The following is a 22,597-nucleotide window of genomic DNA, read 5'->3' as shown; positions in this document are numbered from 1 at the left end:
AACTGTTTATGTTATCAGTAAGGCTTCCAGTCAACAGTAGGCTATTAGTAGTTTTGGGCGAGTCAAAGTTATACATGGATTTTCAGTTGCACAGAGGTCAGCACCCCTGACCCCCAAGTTGTTCTGGGTCAACTGTACTCTTACATTTGCATTTAAAACTGGCACTGCACAAAATAAAGATGAATGGTAAAATTTATGCTAATAATTTAAATGTAAAACTTTTTCTTACTTAGAACAACATTAAATAGCAAATTAAAAAGCAAAACAAAGCAAAACAAAACCAGCAGAACAGGCTGGGCATGGTGGCTCACGCCTGTAATTCCAGCACTCTGGGAGGCCGAGGTGGGCAGATCACCTGAGGTCAGGAGTTCAAGACCAGTCTGGCCAACATGACAAAACCCCGTCTCTACTAAAAATATAAAAATTAACCAGGCATTGTGGCACATGCCTGTAGTTCCAGCTACTCAGGAGTCTGAGGCAGGAGAATCGCTTGAACCTGGGAGGCAGAGGTTGCAGTGAGCCGAGATTGCACCATGGCACTCCAGCCTGGGCAATAGAGTGAGACTCTGTCTCAAAAAACAAACAAACAACAACAACAAGAACATCAGAACAAGTGAAGAGAACATGAAAAAAAGGAGAAAGCTTTGTATTTCAGTTCCCTTAGTGGCCCCTTCTTCCTGCCTCTCACTGGACACTGTGGCTGGCCCTCGCCTCCTCCAGCCTTATTTCCTACGCAGCCTTGGCTCCCATAGCCTCGCTCAGGGTTCTGCCGTTCCCTGAAAGCTCTCCCACTCCTTTACGGTTCTGCCGTTCCCTGAAAGCTCTCCCACTCCTTTACCGCTGCAGGCCTTTCTCAGGCTTCCTCTACCAGGAACGCCATTCTTCTCCCTTCTGCACATGTGTGAATTCTCACTCCTTCTCCAAGTTCAAGCTCAAGTGTCCCTTCCAGGAGGACATTTGGGATGCCAGCACATTTTTGCCAGATGCCCCTCTGCTTCCTTCTACCCTGGCCCTGCAGTATGACTGTCTGCATCTCCCCCATTAGACCTTGACCTCACAGATCAAGACCTTGCCCTTCTGCTTCCCTCTACCACGGCCCTGCAGTATGACTGTCTGCATCTTTCCTAGTAGACCTTGACCTCATGGATCGAGACCTTGCCCCTCTGCTTCCCTCTACCCCGACCCTGCAGTGTGACTGTCTGCATCTCCCCCATTAGACCTTGATCTCATGGATCAAGGCGTAGGGGCTCAGGGCTGGGGGAGGGACTTACTCAAGGAACCTGGTGATGTACTGGCAGCTGCAGCAGGACCAGGTGAGGGGAGCGGCGTCGTACGGGAGCTGTGGAAACATGATGAAAGGCTGTTTCCAATGGGTTCACAGTCATTGCTGCTTCCATCATGCTGAATGCCAAAACTGTGTGAGAGCACAGGCCCCAAGGGCGGGTAAGCCGGCGGGAGGCTTCTAGCCTGCCCTACCCTGGAGAACCACAAGGTGCATAGTCCTAGTTCCCAGGGCTGGTTGTGCCACTCAATGGCCACAGCCTTGAGAAAGTCACATTCTCTCGCTGAGCCTCAGTTTCTTTAATGTAAAATGAGGGTATGACAGCTAGTATCCCAAGGGCTCCTACTCCGGCCTGAGCCTGAAATGAGGGCCAGGGACCCAGAGCAGCCCTGCTCCAGCCCGGGGACTGGCCAGCAATGGCAAATCAGGTGGCACAGATGTGGGCCCGTGATGGCCCCTGCAAGCTCACTGGCCTCAAGAACAGTCTGACAGCGGTTCCCACTCACAGGTCCTTGTCCCAAGGCTGTGCACTTGAGTTAAGGCATCTGAGCTGCTGTATCACAGAAAGGTCTCCAGAGACCATCCTTGGGAAGGACATGAGAAAAATTATTTCCTGAGCATCTACTATGTGCCGGGGCCATGCTAAGCACTTTCAGAAACACAGTCTCACTCAGTTCTCATTATTACCCTCAGGAAGGCTCAGAGAGTCTAAGGAACTAGCCAGGGTAACACAGCCAGGAAATTGTAGTACTGCGGCAGGCTGTTCTTTCTGCAGCCATAAGCAGCTTCAAGGTCCTGCAGGCACGGCCATCACCCACAAAACCCGGACATCTGAATGGATGACCCCAACAGCTTTGACCCACAGAACCCTCTGGGAGCCTGCCTTTGATGGCTTTCTAGACAATCTAAGATGCTGCCATATTCGCCAGCTCAACAGCCAGGGCACAGGTGGCTGGAGGCCTGTGAAGACAGGAGCCTTAGGCAGCGGTGTCAGATAGAGGGAGCCTTGGACATCACTGAATCCAAACCCCTCAATCTATGGGAAGCACACAGAGGCCCAGAGAGGGCAGGCACTGGCCCAGGCCACAGAGCAAACAGGAACAGGGACAGGGATCGAGAGTAAAAAATACAGCACTGAGGGCAATGGGGAGGGACAGCCAAAGACCTACAATGACTTTCCAGCCCATCACAACTCCCCTTTAAATAAGACTCCCTCCAGGCCAGTCCCAGAGATGCCCAGGCAGGACTCTCTCCTGTTTAACAGGGAAGCCTGGTTGTGGGGAGGGCACAGTGCAGGGGCAGCACATGGCCAGACAGTCGGGGCTTCTTCTCCAGAGAGCTTCCTTTCCCCTGGACTTTGTGACCCACAGGCTGGATACCCAGTGCTCTCAGGCTGGGAGGGTGAATCTCGACTCTCAGTGTAGCAATAGGGGCAGGCACGGTACCTGTGCTCAAGACTGTTCTTGAGGCCAGTGAGCTTGCAGGGGCCATCACAGTGAAGGTCAGCGGCAGGCCCATGTCCTCCTTGATGTTGCAGCTACGGTGCAGCTGGCACATGCCCACCACATGGGACAAGCCCAGGGTCTCACAGGGCCAGTTCATGGCTGCACACAGGTCCTTCCTGCACAGGCAGAGAAGCGGCCTTCAGGCTAACCTAGCGAGTGCCAGGCCCACCTGAGTTAAGGCCAGGGAAGGGTCACCCCCAGTTGATCCCAAGTGAAAAGGATGTCCTTCCCACCATTCTGTGACATGAGGCCAGCACAGTGGCCACTTGGGAAGGAGGTATTCTCATTCACACACAAGCCACTGGGCATCTCTTTGGCCCTCAGGAACACAGACCTGCACAGAATAATTTTGGTTACTATCCAGCAGGGGCACTGACAGAAGCTGCCAGAGTCCAGCAGAGGGAAAATAACTGCCTCTGGACAGATCAGCAGTTGCCGGAGGTTAGGGGAGGAGGGAGGAAGGTGGCTGTGACTATAAACGGGTAGCACGAGACATCCTTCTGATGGGACAGATCTGTATCTAGACTGTGGGGGTGGGTAGGTGAACCCACAGTGATGAAACTGCACAGAACTGAATACACACACACACACACACACACACACACACACACACAGGGAAGTACATGTGGAACCGATGAGACCTGAGTAAGTCTGTGGATGGTATCAGTGTCAGTTTCCTGATTGGGATACTGTGCTGTAGTCATGCAAGATGTTACCACCGGGGGAAATGGATGAAGGCTATACAGGCCCTCTCTCTATTATTTTTGACAAGAGTGTGAGAATCCACAATTATTTCAAAATAAAAAGACCTCCCTAAGTGCGGACAGAATCCAGCCTTGGGCCAAAGGTGCGCAAACTCTCCTCAAAATGGGGCTCCCTGACAGCACGGCCCCCTCCTCCACCAGGGCTTCTTCCCTAGGGCTGGGAAGCACCTCCCTGAGATGCAGGCTCCCACCCTCCTGCAGCTGCAGTACCTGATGAGCAGGATGGCAGTGTCATGCTGCAGGGGGTGGGCGTCTCCCTTCATGTTGATGCTTTTCTGCCACTTGCAGAAGCTCTTCAGGGTGTTGTCTGCATGGTGCATGATCTTTAGGTCCTCCTGGGGGCAGAGAGAGTGACTGCTCATGCCTCCCCTGAGTTCCAAGAAGGTCAGGCCCAATTCTCCCCCATACAAAGGCAGGAGACAGAGGCCCAGCAGGGCAGTGGGAGGCCCGCAGGCACCAGTCCAGCTTCCGGCCTGACCACCCCTCCTGTAGGAACCTCCTGCAGGAGACCTGGGACCTGAGAGAGGGTCAGTCAGGAACCAGGGAGTGGCAGGGGACACAGTCCAGTCCAAGGAGGCCTTCACTGTGCCCTTCCATACAGAGCAGCACAGGTCATGGGGCAGGAGGGCTCTGGCAGCCGAAGCCATTGCCAGGCAGCGTGGGACCACATGACCGCTCACCTCCTCATCTTCCAGAAGGACCAGGAGCACAATGGTCATGTGGATGGGGTTCCCAATGCTGGGGTCGTGAAACAGGCCAGCCACCTGCCCAAGAGATGAGGGGGTCAGGCTGTCACCAGGATGAAGGATACAAGCAGCCAATGCCCACCCCAAGCCACCCACCCACCCAGGGCAATGCACACCTGTGCTCACACACAGGGACGCTCACACGGGTGCACACAGGCTGCACAGCGGATAGGCAATGCACATGCACCAATGCATGAGTGTCCCCACACCTCACACGCACTGCCCCAATGTGGCAGCAGCAGAACCTACAGAGGACAAGAGGCCTCCGACGCCCCTTCCCAGACCACAAATCTTTCCTAGACCACAGACAGGTAAGCTTGGTATCAGTCCCCAGCAAAGTGGCTCCAGAGGACCAGAAGCCCCTGAGGGTCTGCTCTGCCTGCCTGAGGACTGACCCAAGCTATATTCTGAGTCAGGGCTAGGGGCAGCTTAGTGCCACCACAAAGGCCTTCCCTCAGCATATATAACCTCACTGTCTCCCAGGAGCTATGGGGGTAATACAGGCATTGGGAGATGTTGGAGGGAGGCAGGGTCTTAATTGGCTGATCAACTCAACCAAGTAACATTGGTTAATGGCCCAAGGTCAATGTGGGGTGTTTCAACTGGATAAATGATATCCAGGGAAGCCCAGCCCTGTTCTGCTGCAGGTCTGGAGAGCATGCCAGAGGTGTGCAGTGTTTGTGAAGGTAAGATCTGGAGGTTACAGATAACCACAGGCTCCTGGTGAGCTGAAAGTGTGACAAGAGCCCCTCGAAAAGGGCTTGTGGCCTCAGAGAGTAAGAACAGAATTGGGGGTGAAAATGGGGTGAAACTGGCTGAGCACGGTGGCTCATACCTGTAATCTCGGCACTTTGGGAGGCTGAGGTGGGCAAATCACGAGGTCAGGAGCTCGAGACCAGCCTGGTTAACATGGAGAAACCCCATCTCTACTAAAAATACAAAAAAATTAGCTGAGTGTGGTGGCATGCGCCTGTAGTCCCAGCTGCTCAGGAGGCTGAGGCAGGAAAATCGCTTGAACCAGAAGGCGGAGGTTGCAGTGAGCTGAGATCACGCCACTGCACTCCGACCTGGGGGACAGAGTGAGACTCCATCTCAAAAAAAAAAAAAAAAAAAAAGAAAATAGGGTGAAAAGGGACCTGTCTTGCTATCCTTGGGACAAACCCACCCAAGCTCTAGGACTCAGATCTGAGTCTAGCACAGGGAGAACACTGATAAATTGGGGTCTGTAGGTGGCGTTGGTAAAGAAAGATGAGGCTGTCCTGAAGGTGGCTGTGGGTCAGATACTGCAGCAGCCAAAAAAATAGCCACAGCCAACCTTGATCGAGCCTAACATGTACAGTCCCTGTGCTGGGGGCTTAGCATGCATTATCTCATTTAATCTTACTTCTGAGGTAGGCACAATTATCCTCATTTTACAAATGAAGTAACTGAAGCTCAAAGAGAGGGTGAAGCTGGGCTCAGAACCCAGGTTTCACTGCTTCAAAGCCCCTGCTTATTTCCTAAATTTGGGGAATGCTGCCTGCCTATTCTGTTGGGGATTCTCAATGAATATTTACTTTGAGGGCTCTGAGAAGTCCTGTAGTAACGAAGTCTGTTTTACCTTTTTTTTTTTTTTTTTTTTTTCGAGACAGTGTCTCACTTTGTCATCCATATGGAGTGCAGTTGCATGATCTCAGCTCACTGCAGCCGCTGCAGCCTCGACCTCCTGGGCTCAAGCAATCCTCCCACCTCAGCCCCTCAAGTAGCTGGGACTACAGGTGTGCACCACCATGCCTGGCCCGTTTTACTTTTTTTAACCCTGTGTGGCCAAACTTATTCAACAGCAGCATCTTTTTTTTTCACAGTGCACTACTGGCATTCTTTGGAACACACTCCCTGAAATATTCCTTGGGAAATGCTACAATGAGACAGAGTCCCCACATGCAGAATCATGCTCTTCCACATCCATCACCTTATCCCAGGTAGAGCGATGGCTCTCAACAAGTCAGTCTTAAATAAACATCTGATCCTGAGGGAACATCTGTTCCCCATCCTTCTGGCCCATCCTGGCCCAGGGCACACGTCTCCAGGGCTTCTCCTCAGCGAGTTCTCTGGGGCACTGGGAACCACACAGGGATCAGAGGCGAGGGGCCTGAATTCCCCTCCTGGCTCTGCCCCAAACCTGTGCTGTGTGGCTCTGCCTGACCACTTTCTTTCTTTGATCTTGAGATTCCCTGACTAAAAATAGGAATAAGTTGATCTGCCTCATGGGGGGACCTCAAAGGGTAAATGAAATGGTGGATATAAACGCAGTAAAGTACTGTGTCCATGGGAGGGGAACTCCTGGGCTTGACAAAGCTGGCTACTGGGCCCCTATCTCCCCGTGTCACTTCCTCCCACCCTGGGGGCTTAGTGCATCTCAACACTGACCCCTGACCCCACCCTCTAAACCCCAGCCTGGGGAGGCTGGCCAAGACCCAGCCCAGCTTGCCCTACTGAGCCTGCTCCCCTGACCCAGGCTGCTCCAGATCAGAAGAGGAAGCACATCTATGAAGCTGGGGAAAATGAGGCCAAGAAGCATGCCTCTGTGGATATGTGCTCCAGCAAATGGAGTACCAGAGCTGTGGGCAGCCTGAGATTGGCATGCCAGCCAAGCATTCCCCAAATCCCAGCAACCCTTAGCAGGCAGCTCTTCACCTGGACTGGCCGGCACTACTGCTGCTCTGCAGAGGAGGCACTGGGTACCACACTCCAGGTCCCAATAATAGAGGTTAGTTATTCTAGGGTGGGAGCAGGGTGGCATGGGGAGGGAGGTTCCTGGCTAATGGCCCTGTTGGAGCTGGGCATGGCTCACCTGGTCTGGACACTGGAGGGAGAATGGCTGGCAGAGCCAGGTGCCATAGGCTTGGTGGGGAGGGAGCAAGAGGGAGGTTGAGCCCCAAGGTGGGAGAAGTAGGTGAGATGGAGAGAGGGAGGTCAGTCTAGGGGACTGACTGGGACAGGCCTGAAAGGCAGAGGACACAGTCTTGTGGCACAATTAAGGGCACACGCTATAGTGATGTATCCGTCTGTCTGTCTGTATCCTCTGGTCTAAGGGACACCGAGCATGGGCATGTTACGAGGGGCTTCTAGAAAGGCCCCTTCATGTCCCCAGGCCTAGCACCTGCCTGAGAACTGGGAGTAGAAGAGCATACCTTGCACCCCACAGGTACTTGGAGCACTGGAATCACCCCGCTGTGCCAGCCTCTCCGGGGCCGGATGCTTGTACACCACATGGGGCTGGGCATGGCTGGGCCAGGCTGGGGCACCGTCCAGGGGCTGAATGAAGTAGTCCTTGTTGGAGAGCAGGAACACACCTTTCTAGGGAAGAAGCACCAGGGTCACACAGGGAGGGCTGGCCCTCAGCTGCTCTTCCTGCACGTCCCAGAGGCCCATCCTGCTCAGCTGAGCCCCCACTGCCCACATCATCTGTGACTGCCCACAGACACCCTGCACTTTCCGCCTGCTGGGCCTTTGCTCACTCTGTAGCCTCCATCTGGAAAGCCCTTCTCTGCCATTTCACACACAGCCAAACCTTCAAAGCGGAGCTCAGAAGCCTCCGCCCCTGGGGATGCTGCCCCACACACCCACCCTATTAGGAGAGGAAAACGGGTCTGCACCCAAATCTGACAAAATGGTGTCTTCCAAAGTCCCAGACAGCTGTCCTGAGCAGGGCAGCTTGTGCCCAGGCCTCCAGGCTATTCTGCGTCTTCTCTGCAGGCCAGCCATTTCCAGCACTGTGCTCCCTCCCAGCTGGCCAGGGCTTCTGACCTTCCCTCTATCTCCCTAAGGTAATGAATCACTCCAAAAGCATCCACACCCACACCCGAGTGGCGGAGATGCCCACGGCCACCAGGACACCCTGTTCTCTGGGCCCAGGGCTGCCCAGAGAAGGGAAGCTGGCAGGAGTGTCTTGGACATGTCCGCCAACATTCAGAGTCCAGGGAGGGGAGGGGCCCCAGGAAGCATCTATGATGCCCACTACCTCCTGAGGAAGCTCAGGGCTCCAACAGGAAAGAAGGTTTTACATCCCTCGGACTTCCCCTCATAGGCACCAATTCTGCCCCTTGAGTCACACAGGACCAGGGGGCCTGGAGGGAGGGCTGGAGAGTGCATCAGCTCTTGGGTCTGGAGACCTGGGTATGAATGCGAAGTCCCCCCCTCCCGCCCACCACTCACTGAATGACTAGGTGAGCCTGGGCAAGTTCCCCTCTGAGCCTGTTTCCTCATCTGTGAAATGGGAATGATGCCCCATGTGCACAGCTGTGGCACAGGCTCAACAAGATCAATTGTACATTAAGGGACAGGCACAGGCTCCATAAATGGGAATACTGTGCAGGGCAGATGGGCCTTCAAAGGTCCAGACGTTGTGCAGCTTGCGTTGTGGGCTGCCCTGTCATTAGGCCCTGTGCGGCCACAGCCCATGGTTTTTGCCTGAGCAATCTAAGCTGAGGGCCTCCTGGGAACAGTGGACGCTGAGAGTGTGCACACATCCCCTACTCCTCCCAAACCCCCACCCTCCAGAGCTGGGAGAGTGGGGCTGGTCACCTGAACACGAACAGAAAGGGGCCCTACTCTGCCTGGAGTGGAAGCTGCTCTAATCAGCACCCAATCAGGGAGCAATTAGGGCTGCAGTAGCCAGCACCACCCTTCAGCCAGTCGAAACCAGGAAGCTGAGGCCTGCTTTTCCCGGAGCTCTGATCCGAGCAGAGGGGCTGAAAGGGGTTCCTCACCACACCCTGCAGAATGGCTACAGGGTGAGGGGTGGCTTTCCTGGAGAAAAGCAGCCTAAAGGGACCTGTGAAGGAACAGTCATAACTGATGCCCCAAGGAAGAGAAGTCAACTGCTTTTTCAGTTACTTAGTCCAGTCAAACAGAGGTTCTCAAAATGGGATCTCTGGACCTGCATCTTCAATATTACCTGAGACGTTTTCAGAAATCCAAGTGTTTGGGCGCCATTCCAGACCTACCCTGCAAAAATTCTGTTTAAACAGGGCCTGCAGGTGATTTGAGCTCATATTAAACTTTTCTTTTCTTTTCTCTTTCTTTCTTTCTTTTTTTTTTTTTTTTTTAGTGCCTGGGGTCTCGCTGTGTCTCCAGCTAAGCGCCATGATCACACCCTACGTCCTACATCCTTTAACTCCTGGGCTCAAGTGATCCTTTCGCCTCAGCCTCCCAAATAGCTGGGACTACAGGTGCACCACCACCCGGCTTTCACATTAAACTTTGAGAACTGTTGTCCTAGAGATGAACGAGGCCTGCGTTGTCACTCCCACTTTACAGGCGTGAATACCGAGGCTGGCAGAGAAAAAGTGCACTGGGCAAAGCCACCAGACAAGTGCGTGGCAAGGCTAGAGCCAATCTCCACATCCCACCACCCGAGACTGCCCCAAGTATACATGTCCCAGCTCACTCACCAGGCCGTCGCAGGCGCTGATGGCCGCCAGGCCACCCTCGAGCTCGGAGTCCTGCACCTCGCCAAGCAGGTGGCAGGCGGGGGTGTGGGCCCGGATGTGCGCGCGACCCAGGGCGCCGCGCCGCGGCATCTCGCTCACAAAGCCGGGCGCCAGCAGGTGCTGATTGGCGGTCAGGTTGAAGCGCAGCTCGCGCCTGCGGTATTGCAGCGGGTAGAAGGCGGGCGCGTCTCGGCGCACAGATACATCCCGCTTGCGCAGTGCGCGGGGCCGCAGCTCACAGGACAGGAAGGACCCCCCAGCGTCCACGCGAACCTGGTGCACGATATCCGGTGCCGCCCGGCCCTCGGTTACACTTCCTGCAGGGAGGGAACCACAAAGGCCTTAGGCCCAGGGCAGACCGGGGTCCTTGCTGGTGGCCAGGGACCAGAGGGGAGCGGCCAAGAGGGGGCTGCTGGAGTCAGAGTATCTGGATTCAAATCCTCGCTGGGCTATCTACTAACTCTGCTATTTCATCTTTCCGTGCCTCAGTTTCTCCATCTGGATTGTTGCAGTAACTCCTTTTGTTGTTGTTGTTTGTATTTTGGGTTTTTGGTTGGTTGTTTTGAGATAGTCTCGCTCTGTCGCCCAGGCTAGAGTGCGTGGCGCGATCTCGGCCCACTGGAACCTCCGCCTCCTGGGTTTGAGCGATTCTCCCACCTCAGGAGTAGCTGGGACTAGAAGCACGCACCACCACGCCCAGCTAATTTTTGTATTTTTAGTGGACACAGGATTTCACCATGTTAGCCAGGCTGGTCTCAGATTCCTGAGCTCAGGGGATATGCTGGCCTCAGCCTCCCAAAGTGCTGGAATTACAGGCGTGAGCCACTGCTGCCCGGCCTGGATTGCTGCGGTAACTTCTTAACAGGTCTCTCTGTTTCCACTATTGCCTACCCCAGGTGCCCCTCCCCTCATGTTTTCAATATAGCAGCCAGAGTCATTCAAAACCAGCCTGATCATGGTCCTTCTCTGCTCAAAATCCTGCAATGGTGCCCATCTCACTCGAGCAAAAGACAAAGTTCTGGCCTGTATGAGACGCTAGGCAAGGTGACCTGTCCAATCTCATTTCCAGCTACACCTTCTTAGTTCCCTCCACTCCGCCCACTGGCCTCCTTGCAGTTCCTCCACAGGCCAGACATGCTGCTGCTTCAGGATTTTGCATTGCTGTTCCCTACACCTGCAACACTCTTCCCTCTGTTTTCCACGTGGCTAAACCACTCACTTTTGAGTTCTTGCTCAAATGTCTCCTTCTCAATGAGGCCTCCTATAATGACTTTATTTTAAAATTGCAACTCCCTGGCTCTCCGTATCCCTCTTCCTTGCTTTATTTTTCCCCATAGCACTTCTGACATACCATATCACTTAGCATTTTCATTATTTTTTCTATTTATTTGTTTTCTCCCTCCCCTCCCAATGTAGTCTAGGAAGGCAAAAATCTTTATATTCTTTGCCCCCAGCTTTTTTGGAAACAGGGTCTTGGTCTGTCGCCCAGACAGGAGTGCAGGTGTGCAATCATAGGTCTCTGCAGCCTCCAACTCCTGAGCTCAAGCCATCCTCCCATCTCAGCCTCCCAAGTAGGGAGGGACTGGGACTACAGGTGGGTGCCACCACACTTGGCTAATATGTTTTTATTTTTAGTTTTTTTAAAATAGAGATGGGGTCTCACTATGTTGCCCAGGCTGGTCTCAAACAAACTCCTGGGCTCAAGTGATCCTTCTACCTCGGCCTCCCAAAGTGCTGGGATTACAGGTGTGAGCCACTGCAGCTGGTCCTGGATAATTTTTTTGTGTGTGTGTGGAGATGGGAGTCTTGCTATGTTGCCCAGGCTGGTCTTGAACTCCTGGCCTCAAGCAATCCTCCCACCTCAGCCTCCTAAAGTGCTGGGATTACATGTGTGAGCCACGACACTTGGCCCTTTATATTCTTTGTTGAAGATTTAAGTGTCAGAGGAAGTGTCCAGAACTTAGTCCTTTTTTGGTATTTGTTGAATGACTCTGTAGAATGTGGATAACCACAGCACTTACACTCTTGATGCTGCTGTGAGGATTAAACCAGGTGAGCTACTCCACATTTAGCAGTGCCTGAACCACTGGTTGAATATGATGGCAATTATGATTGTTATGATTATTATTAGCCTGATGGATTTAAAAATGTGCTCTCAGGTGCGTGAGCATTCTGCAAGTGTCTCCAGGCCTCCTGGAATGGGGAGACAGAGAAAGACCACCCCAGTGGGGCTGCCTGGCCCCTAACTGCCACTTCAACAGAGTGGCTCTGGTTTCTTTCTTTTACATGGAAGAATTCATTTAAAGAAAGGTTCCAGGGATGGAAAAAATTGGCAGACCTCTGCTCAGGCCCTTGCAGTTTAAAAACCCCTCTCTGTTGCTCTGTCCTCTAGGATTTCCCAATAAGGCCTGGATTCTTATCCTTTTTTGCCACAAACTCCTTCTCAGAACAATATTTTGAAATGCAGAAAATAAAATACATAGGAGTGGTTGGGCCCGGTGGCTCACGCCTGTAATCTTAGCACTTTGGGAGGCCGAGGCAGGCAAATCACTTGAGGTCAGGAGTTTGAGACCAGCTTGGCCAACATGGTGAAACCCTGTCTCTACTAAAAACACAAAAATTAGCCAGGCGTGGTGGCACATGCCTGTAATCCCAGCTACTCAGGAGACCGAGGCAGGAGAATCGCTTGAACCTGGGAGGTGGAGGTTGTAGTGAGCCGAGATCGCATCACTGCACTCCAGCCTGGGTGACAGAGGGAGACCCTGCCATAAAAAATAAATAAAATAAATAAAATAAATGCACAGGAGTACCAAGGAAATTGATTATATTGAAATACAGTTATCAAAATAATTTAAGACCAGGCAAGGTTGTTCATACTTGTAATCCCAGAACTTTGGGAGAACAAGGGGGGAGGATCACTTGAGCCTAGGAGTTCAAGACCAACTGGGCAACATAATGGGACCTTGTCGCTACACAGACACACACACACACACACACACATACAAAATTAGCCAGGCATGATGGTGCACACCTGTAGTCCCAACTACTTGGAATGTTGAGATGGGAGGCTCTCTTGAGCCCAGGAGGTCGAGGCTGCAGTGAGCCATGATGATGCCACTGCACTCCAGCCTAGGTGATAGAGTGAGACATTATCTCAAAAACAAAACATAACAAAACAAAAAATAATTTAAAAAGTAGGGTGTGGAATTATACTTTAAACAAGATTTTCTGGCAAATTAAACAACTATGGTTTTTTTTTTTTTTTTTTTGAGACAGAGTCTCTCTCTGTCACCCAGGCTGGAGTACAGTAGCTCAATCTTGGCTCACCGCAACCCCTGCCTCCCAGGTTCAAGCAATTCTTGTCCCTTAGCCTCGCAAGTAGCTGGGATTACAGGCACGTACCACCACACCCAGCAAGTTTTTGTATTTTTAGTAGAGATGGGGTTTTGCCATGTTGGAAAGGCTGGTCTTGAACTCCTGGCCTCAAGTGATCCACTCACCTCAGCCTCCAAAAGTGCTGGGATTATAGGCGTGAGCCACTATGCCCAGCAACTACGGAAATTTTGAAGTAGTGATGAACGTAAACCTTATTTCAAGATACATGCAACAACTGTAATGAGATAGAAAAATATTTGGTTTGTTCTATTGGTAACAAAATCACAGGTGCTGTTGGGATTTGCTAATAATATTCATAATTGAGGGAAATACTAAATTTCATTGAGAGGTTACAAAAAGTAAATATGTAATATTTTCCCATTCAAGCTCATGGATCCCCTCAGTTCACGGTCCCTTAGGCTGTGGACCCCAGGTTAGGACACCTGCAGTAGGGTGTCCAGACTGCTTCCTAGGTGAGAGAGCAAAGGGAGGCTCAGAGAGGTGGAGAGATTGGCCTAGAGCCACACAGTGACAGTGAGAGTGGCAGTGCTGAGACTGGGACTCAAGTCCCCCAAATGGTTTCAGTCTCTTCAGTAACATTGCTTTATATTCTCAACAGTCCATCCCTTACTGGGCCTCAGTTTCCCCATCGTTAATGTGAAAGAGTTGAATTAGATCACGTTTCTCAAATCTCTTTGGCCACCAGGTCTAGTCTCAAAAGAAATCTCATGTGCCGGGGGTGGGGGAGCCCTGGCATCCATGCTTTTCCCACTCTTTTCCCTCTCTGCAGTTCCCAGGCTCTAAAGAGCACAGTTAGGGAACTTGGCAATCTGGAGTTTCTCGATTGGGTTTATACCCAGCTCCCAGGATCCTGGCTGTTCACGACAATAGACTCCACGGGCTCACATGAATGCCTGAGTGCCCTGCTGACATCCCACCAGGATTCCTTCTGCTGCTGCCCAGCCCAAAGCTCCATCCCAGCAGGCTGCGGAAACCAAACCCGCCCTCCAGTCTGTCCCCTGCCAAACTGCATGTAGAGTGCCCTGCACACGTCAGTGCTGTGCCCCTGCTGAGAGCATCTCCCACTGCTCACAACTGCCCCAGCAGTGCCGGCCTCAAAGAGCTTTCTCTGAGAGTCAGGAGGTTGGATGGGCTGGGGCAACGTGCTATGTGGCTCTGAGCAAGTCTTCCTCATCACTGAGCCTCAACGGGCCACTAGTGCAAGGATTTTCCAGATCTCACAGATGAGTTTCTTAAAAACAAATTCCCAGGCCCCATCCCAGACTCACTATACCAGCATTTCCAGGAAACTAGGACTAGGGACTAGGAAGCTGTTTTTACCAAGAACCTCCGGGAGCTGTGATCCTCAGGAAAGTTAGGAAATCCCCCACTGGGAGTGAACCTGGCTGGTCATCAGCAGTACGTGGAGAGCTCTGAAAAACTGCAGATGCCCAGGACCCAGCCCAGAGATTCTAGTTCCACAGATCCAGGGCTCTGGGGGCCCTAGAATGTGTATTTTCTGTGTTTTTCTAGACCTTCCCAGGGATTCTGATCTAGCCAGTTCAGAGGCTGGCATTCAGAAACCACCGGACTGGATGATTTAAGGTGACTTCTTGCTCTGACATCCTAATAAGGACATATGGGACTACAACTCCTCAACCACAGCGTGCAGATTTGCTTGTGTTGATCAGTTATTGATTTTTTGGTTTGTTTTGGCTGACACAAATATTGAAAAATGTTTTAGTCAATTGCCAATGTTTAGGAATCACATGATCTTGTACAAAAATCTCAATTTTCAGCTTTTCTTGAAAAGTCTTATCATCCATCCATGTCAGGCTTAAATTGCTCCCTGGCAGAAGTGGCTGGGGTGGAGCAGTGAGTTCCCTTTAGGAAGGGCCTATGCTCCCCGGTCCTCAGTCCCCACCACTCCCTATTCATTCCCAGCACTGTGGCTGCAAGTAGGCTCCCTTTCCCATCATGCTTGTGTTTCCTTTCACTCAGTAAAGAACTGAGTCTCTAACAAAAGTGGGAAAACAAGAGATGGGCCAAGAAGCCCCATGTTTCAGGAAAAATCTGTCTCCCTACCCACCTCGTTTGCTCATTTATGTTACCTGCCTAGTCCATGGCATTTGGTATGTGACCCTTGGCTACTAACTGTGAGGGGGCACTAGGTGCTCCAAAGTCCAGGACAGTGGATAAGACACCATCCTTGCCTTCAAATGGAGAAATGGCCGGACGCAGTGGCTCACACCTGTAATCGCAGCACTTTGGAAGACCGAGGAGGGCAGATTGCTTGAGCTCAGGAGTTCCAGACCAGCCTGGGCAACACGGTGAAATCCCATCTCTACAAAAAATACAAAAATTAGCCAGGCGTGGTGGTGTATGCCTGTAGTTTCAGCTACTCTGGAGGCTGAAGTGGGAGGATCACTTGAGCCTAGGAGGTGGAGGTTGCAGTGAGCAGAGACTGTGCCACTGTACTCCAGCCTGGATGACAGAGCGAGACTCTGACCCCCACAAAAAAACAGAAAACAAAGCAGAAAAATGGGTGTGGTAGACCCAAGACCCCCACTCTGGCACAGTGCTGACAAGGTCCAAGCAAGGGGAAGGGATGGCACCTTATGAATGCGTTGGAATGAAGAAAAGTTTCATCAAGGAGGATGCATTTGAGATGTCCCTTAACATATGTTAATTCAACAGTGAAGACAAGGAGGGCCTCTTGGTGGTAGGGGCACTGTGTGGTAAACCCTCAGAGAAGTGGGGAAAAGCCAAAAGTAAGAATGGGCAACAAGAAGTTTAATCTTGGCCCAGGCATGTGTTTTGTAAAATGGGAGACAATGGATGGACAAAATAATGCACTGTCAAGAGCGTGGGCTTTGAAAGTAACAAGACCCAGGGCAGGCCCAAGTGGGCCGTTTAATAGTTGTATAATCTGAGTCACTGCATATTTGTGAGTTTCAGTTTCCTCATCTGAGAATCCAGGCCAGAAAACATAAGGAGGGGAGCCCAGGTCAAGGAGATGAAAATAACAGAGATAGGGAAGAACTACTTCCTAGGTTCACTCCCAGTGGGGGATTTCCTAACTTTCTCAAGGATCACAGTTCACGGAAGCTACAACTCCAAGACTTGTTTTTGTTTTTGTTTGTTTGTTTGTTTTTGTTTTTGTTTTGAGAGAGAGTTTCATTCTTGTCACCCAGGCTGGAATGCAATGGCGCGATCTTGGCTCACTGCAACCTCTGGCTGCTGGGTTCAAGCAATTCTGCCTCAGCCTCCCAAGTAGCTGGGATTACAGGTGCGAGCCACCACGCCCAACTAATTTTTGTATTTTTAGTAGAGACTGGGTTTCCCCATGTTGGCCAGGCTTCTCTTGAACTCCTGACCTCACGTGATCCACCTACCTCGGCCTCCCAAAGTGCTGGGATTACAAGTGTGAGCCACAGCACCTGACCTACTTTGGATTTAATTTGCCCTTCTTTTCTATTTTCTTCAGGTGTAAACTTAGAATCCTGATTTAAGATCTGTCTTCTTTTCTAATATATGTATTCAATGCCTTACATTTCCCCATAGCACTGTTTTTACTGTATCCCACAAGAAAGAGAGAGAAAGAAAGAGAGAGAGAAAGAGAGAGAGAGAAGGAAGGATGGAAGAAGGAAGGAAGGAAGGAAGGGGAAGGGGAAGGAAGGAAAGAAGGGATGAAGGAAGGAAGGAAAGAAAGAAAGAAAGTTGTTTAATTTCCACATATTTTGGGATTTTCCTGTTACCTTTCTGTTATTGATTTATAATTTAATTCCACTGTGGCATAAAAGCAGACATTGTATGATTTCTATGATTTTAAATGTGTTAAAGTGTGTTTTATGGCCCAGAATGTGGTCTATCTTGATGAATGTTCCATGTAAGCTTGAGAAGAATTGTAATCTGCTATTGTGGGATGAAGTTGTCTATAGACATCAATTATATCCAGTTAATTAATGGCCTTGTTAAGTCCTTGTTGATGTTCTGCCTGCTGAATCTGTCCATTTCTGATAGAGACGTGTTGAAGTCTCCTGCTATGATAGTGGATCCATCTATGTTTCCTACACTTCTATCAGTTTTTACCTCAGGGTGTTTGATTCTCTGTTGTTAGCACATACACATTAATGATTGTTATGTCTTCTTGGAGAATGGATTCCCATTGTCATTCTGTAATGCCCTTCTTTATCCTTGCTAAATTTCCTTGCTTTGAAGCTGCTCTGTCTGAAATTCATATAGCTATTCCTGCTTTCTTTTGATTAGTGTTAGCATGGTATGTTTTTCCTCTATTTATTTACTTTTAATCTATATGTATCTTTATATTTAAAGTGAGTTTATTGTAGGCAACATATAGTGTATAGTTGGGTTTTGTTTTTGATCCACTCTGACAATTTCTCTCTTTTAATTGGTGATTGACCATTGACATTCAAAGTGATTATTATATCAATATAGTAAGATTAATATCTACCATATTTGTTACTGTGTTCTATTTGTTGTCCTTGTTTTTGTTTCTATTTTTGACTTCCACTCTGTTTCCATCTTTTGTGGCTTTAATTGAGCATTTCATGATTCCATTTTCTTTCCCTTCTTAGCATATCCATCAGTTATACTTCTTTTTGTACTGTTTTCCCTAGGATTTGCAATACGTTTACAACTAGTTTAAGTGCACTTTTAAATAACACTCTACTGCTTCACAGGTAGTGTGAGTATCTTATAATAACAAAATTGTCCTAATTCTTCCTTCCTGTCCCTTGTATCATTATCATTCATTTCACTTATATACAAACATACACATCATTTATATACAAAAAATATATACATAATCAAATATATTATTGCTAATTATTATTTTGAACAAATGATGTTTGATCTATTGATCAGTTTGATCTGAATTGATCTATTAGATAAATTAAGAATAAGAAGAATAAAATTTTCATTTTATATTAACTTATTCCAGTGCTCTTCCTTTCTTGATATACATCCAAGTTACTGACATGTATCATTTTCCTTTTTCCCAAGGAACTTTTCTTTAACATTTCTTTCAAGGCATGTTTACTGGCAACTAATTCCCTCAATTTTTGTATGAGAAAGTGTTTATTTCTCCTTCACTTATGAAGAGTAATTTCACAGAATATAGAATTCTAGGTTGGTGGTGGGGTTTTTTTCCCCCTCTCTCAACACTTTAAATATTTCACTCCAGTCTCTTGCTTATACAATTTCTGAGAAGTTGGATGTAATTCTTATCTTGACTTCTCTGTAGGTAAGGTGTGTTTTCTTTTCCCTCTAGGTTCCTCCAGAATTTTCTCTTCATCTTTTGATTTTTTTTTTTCATAGTTTGTAACTTAGGTGGCTAGATGCAGTTTTTCTGTGGGCATTTATCCTGCTTGATGTTTTCTGAGCTTCCTGGATCTGTGGTTTGGTGTCTCACATTGAGAGAAATTCTCAGTCATTATTGTTTCAAATATTTCTCCTGTTTCTTTCTCTTCTGCTTCTGGAATTCCCATCACATGTATGTTACATCTTTTGCAGTTGTCTCACAGTTCTTGCATACTCTGTATTTTTTTTCACTCTTTTCCCCTTTTCAGTTTTGGTGATTTCCATGAGATAGTCTCAGGCTCAGAGATGTCTTTCCTCAGCAGAATCCAGTTTGCTAATAAGCCTGTCAAAGGCATTCTTCATTTTTGTTACAGTGTTTTTAATCTATAGCATTTCTTTTTGGTTCTTTCTTACAATTTCCATCTCCGATTAAACTGCCCATATATACAGAGCATATATACTAACCTGTGAATGCACACACACACACATCTATTTTTTTGTGTATCTGTGAATTCATACTGAAACCCTGGACACTATTTCAGCACCACAGGGTTCATTATAATCCGCAACTTTTTATTTTAAGTTCCAGGGTACATGTGCAGAATGTGCAGGTTTGTTACATAAGTAAACGTGTGCCATGGTGGTTTGCTGCACCTATCGACTCATCACCTAATTATTAAGCCCAGCATGCGTTAGCTCTTTTCCCTAATGCTCTCCCCGACCACGCTCCCCTGACAGGCCCCAGTAAGTGTTGTTCCCCTCCCTGTGTCCATGTGTTTTCATCTTTCAGCTCCCACTTATGAGTAAGAACATGTAGTATTTAGTTTATGTTCCTGCATTAGTTTGCTGAGGATAATGGCTTCCAGCTCCATCCATGTCCCTGAAAAGAACATGATCTCATTCCTTTTTATGGCTGTGTAGTATTCCTTGGTATATATGTATGACATTTTCTTTATCCAGTCTATCATCGATGGGCATTTGGGTTGATTCCATATCTTTGCTATTGTGAATAGTGCTATCTGCATCTTTTTCTTATTTGTAACTTATTTCTCTGATAGAAGCCTGGCTGTCATTATTTACACTATATTTTTTCAGTTCAACCTTATTATACTCATAGTTTAGAATTGATAACACATACCTCTGTCAGAGAAAAAAAATTACAAACTGGAGTACAGTGTTTATATACAATCATTTTTGTCTTTAGCTTTATAGTATCCAATCTGAACACTTGTCCGAAGTTACTTAGGTAATCTCCTTTCTTCTCAATGCCACATCCTGGGAGACAGTTTTTATAATTTACATACTGTGAAATTAACTCAGTGGATTCTAATGGTTTTGACAAATACAGAGTTGTGTATCAACCACCAATTTCTTTTTTTTGTTACTTTATTTATTTACTTTTTTATTATTATACTTTAAGTTTTAGGGTACATGTGCACAACGTGCAGGTTTGTTACATATGTATACATGTGCCATGTTGGTGTGCTGCACCCATTAACTCGTCATTTAACATTAGGTATATCTCCTAATGCTATCCCTTCCCCCTCCCCCCACCCCACAACAGGCCCCGGTGTGTGTTGTTCCCCTTCCTGTGTCCATGTGTTCTCATTGTTCAATTCCCACCTGTGAGTGAGAACATGCGGTGTTTGGTTGTTTGTTTTTTTGTCCTTGCAATAGTTTGCTGAGAATGATGGTTTCCAGCTTCATCCATGTCCCTACAAAGGACATGAACTCATCATTTTTTATGGCTGCATAGTATTCCATTCAACAACCAATATCTTAGTTCCACTCCACCCCAAATTCTTTTGTCCTGCTTCTTTGTAGTCAATTGCTCCTACCCCCACCCCTAGCAATCATTTACTATTTTCTGTCCCTATAGTTTTGCCTTTTCCAGAAATTTATATAACTTGAATCATAGAACATGTAGTCTTTTGGGTCTAGCTTTTTTCACTTACTAAAATACATTTAAGTTTTATGCATGCTGTTGGGTGAATCAACAAATGTTGAAACAACAAAATGTTGTTTGTTCCTTGAACTGGCTTTATATATGGATAGATGTTCACTCATTTACCAGTGGAAAGACATCTGGGTTGTTTCCTGTTTGGGGTGACTATAGATAAAGTTCTATAAACATTCATATACACATTTTTGCATAAACCTACATTTTTACTTCTCTTTGATGAACACCTAGAGGTGAGTTTTCTGGGTTATATGATATATGCATGTTTATAAGAAACTGTCAAACTGATTTCCAAAGTAGCCATACCGTTTTGCATTCTAATGAACAATGTGTGAGTGTTCCAGTTGTCCCAGACCTTTGCTAGTAAGTGGTATTATCAGGTTTGTGTGTGTGGTGGTATTTTTTTTTAAGCCTTTTTAGTAGGTATGTAGTGGTATCTTAGTTCAGTTTTTAATTTGAACTTCCATAATAACTTGATGTTAAGCATCTTTTCATGTGCTTCTTCGCCATCTTTTCTGGGTTGAATTGTGTCTATGACTAGAATCTTATTGGAAAATGGAGTCGTTGCAAAAGATCAAGTTAAGGTGAGGTTATCTGCATGGGCCTTCATACAATGTGACTGATGTCCTTATAAAAAGGGGAAATTTGAAAAGGGGAATTTGCATGCACACAGGGAGGACGCTGTGTGAAGATAAAGGCAGAGCTCTACAAGCCAAAGAACAACCAGCCCTGCCAACACCTTGATCTTGGGATCTGTGGTCTCTGGAACTGAGAGATAATACATTTCTATTGTTTAAGCCACCCTGTTTGTGTACTTTTCATAGTACTCTTAGCAAATTAATGCACTATCTGTGTATCTTTTTTGGTGAAGTATCTGTTTAGAACTTTTACCTATGTTTTTGTGGTTTGGTGTGGTTTTCCTATTGCTTGCTTACTGTCTGTAAGCACCTCCCAGCCACATTTCCTTCTTAGTCATTATAGTTCCTTGATGGGTACAATTAAAGAAGTCTTGGCCAGGTGTGGTAGCTCGCGCCTGTAATCCCAGCACTTTGGGAGGCCGAGGCAGGTGGACTGCTTGAGGCCAGGAGTTCTAGACCAGCCTGGCCAACATGGCAAAACCCCATCTCTACTAACAGTACAAAAATTAGTGAGGCGTGGTGGCATGCACCTGTAGTCCCAGGTACTTGGGGGGCTGAGGCAGGAGAATTGCTTGAACCCAAGAGGCAGAGGTTGCAGTGAGCTGAGATCGCACCACTGCACTCCAGCCTGGGTGACACAGCGAGACTCCGTCTCAAACAAAAAAAAACAAAGAAACAAAAAAAAAGAAAAGAAAAAGAAGTCTTAACACAGATATTGGATGGGATGGGGAAGTACCCCTGGCCACCCTAGAGAGCATCTATCAAGCTGTGTGCTGTGTTTATGAGAAGGCTGGGGAGGGATAGTATTGATGAAAGTCCTGTGTCTGTGATACAGGGTGAAAATCTGCACTTGCATGCAAAAGAGCATTGAATGACAGGGGAAAAAAGCGAAAGCCTTAACAAAATGAAAGAGTCCTGATGTTTCACTGGACACCGCAACACTTTCAAAAGCATGTTATCAGCATGTTTTTAAACAGCGTTTTTGAAGTTACTCACTCATGATTGCAAGGTTCACTTCCTCAACTCTGTTGAACTTTCAGAGGTCTCCCCTCTGCTTCCTGAGTATCATGAGGATCTTCTCACACAGCGATTCTCAGAGAAGGCCTTAGATTATAGTTTTGTATAAAGGCAAGCCTGCAAACGTGAGATATTCAGAAGCTGGGATGTGGGTTTCCCAGCCTCTGAGTGAACACCTCCCTCCTGCCTTGAAGGGCTTTTAAGAAAACTTTCAAAATAGACTTTATTTTATTTTATTTTTATTTTTCTTGAGACGGAGTCTTGCTCTGTGGCCCAGCCTGGAGTGCAGTGGTGTGATCTCGGCTCACTGCAAGCTCCGCCTCCCGGGTTCATGCCATTCTGCCTCAGCCTCCCGAGTAGCTGGGACTACAGGTGCCTGCCACCACACTCGGCTAATTTTTTTTGTATTTTTAGTAGAGGACGGGGTTTTGCCATGTTGGCCAGGATGGCCTCGATCTCCTGACCTCATGATCCGCCCGCCTCAGCCTCCCAAAGTGCTGGGATTACAGGCGTG

The 22,597-nt window shown here is 48.2% G+C and overlaps 1 pseudogene across 1 annotated transcript in view, besides 1 other annotated feature; it reads right to left on the bottom strand.

Annotated features, from left to right (window-relative positions):
- The window catches only part of ADAMTS7P1 (ADAMTS7 pseudogene 1), a 41,279-nt pseudogene extending 25,926 nt beyond the window's left edge, over nucleotides 1–15,353 (bottom strand). The window contains exons 1-8 of the transcript NR_045529.3: nucleotides 15,302–15,353; nucleotides 9,733–10,088; nucleotides 7,471–7,636; nucleotides 7,131–7,180; nucleotides 4,232–4,315; nucleotides 3,762–3,886; nucleotides 2,728–2,903; nucleotides 1,272–1,339 (exon numbers count right to left, since the gene is read on the bottom strand). The product of NR_045529.3 is annotated as an ADAMTS7 pseudogene 1 (transcript). The remainder of the gene's footprint in view (nucleotides 1–1,271; nucleotides 1,340–2,727; nucleotides 2,904–3,761; nucleotides 3,887–4,231; nucleotides 4,316–7,130; nucleotides 7,181–7,470; nucleotides 7,637–9,732; nucleotides 10,089–15,301) is intronic.
- Nucleotides 22,208–22,307: an enhancer, noted in NCBI's record as "active region_9963". NCBI's record gives its function as "activates an Ori minimal core promoter by ATAC-STARR-seq in GM12878 lymphoblastoid cells {active_cell/tissue: GM12878}" and the evidence as "EXISTENCE:reporter gene assay evidence [ECO:0000049][PMID:35858748]".

The sequence above is a fragment of the Homo sapiens genome, chromosome 15, assembly GCF_000001405.40.
Source record: "Homo sapiens chromosome 15, GRCh38.p14 Primary Assembly".
Taxonomy (NCBI): domain Eukaryota; kingdom Metazoa; phylum Chordata; class Mammalia; order Primates; family Hominidae; genus Homo; species Homo sapiens.
Note: the sequence above shows the minus strand (reverse complement) of the source record. Positions and strands in the feature narration are given on the sequence as shown.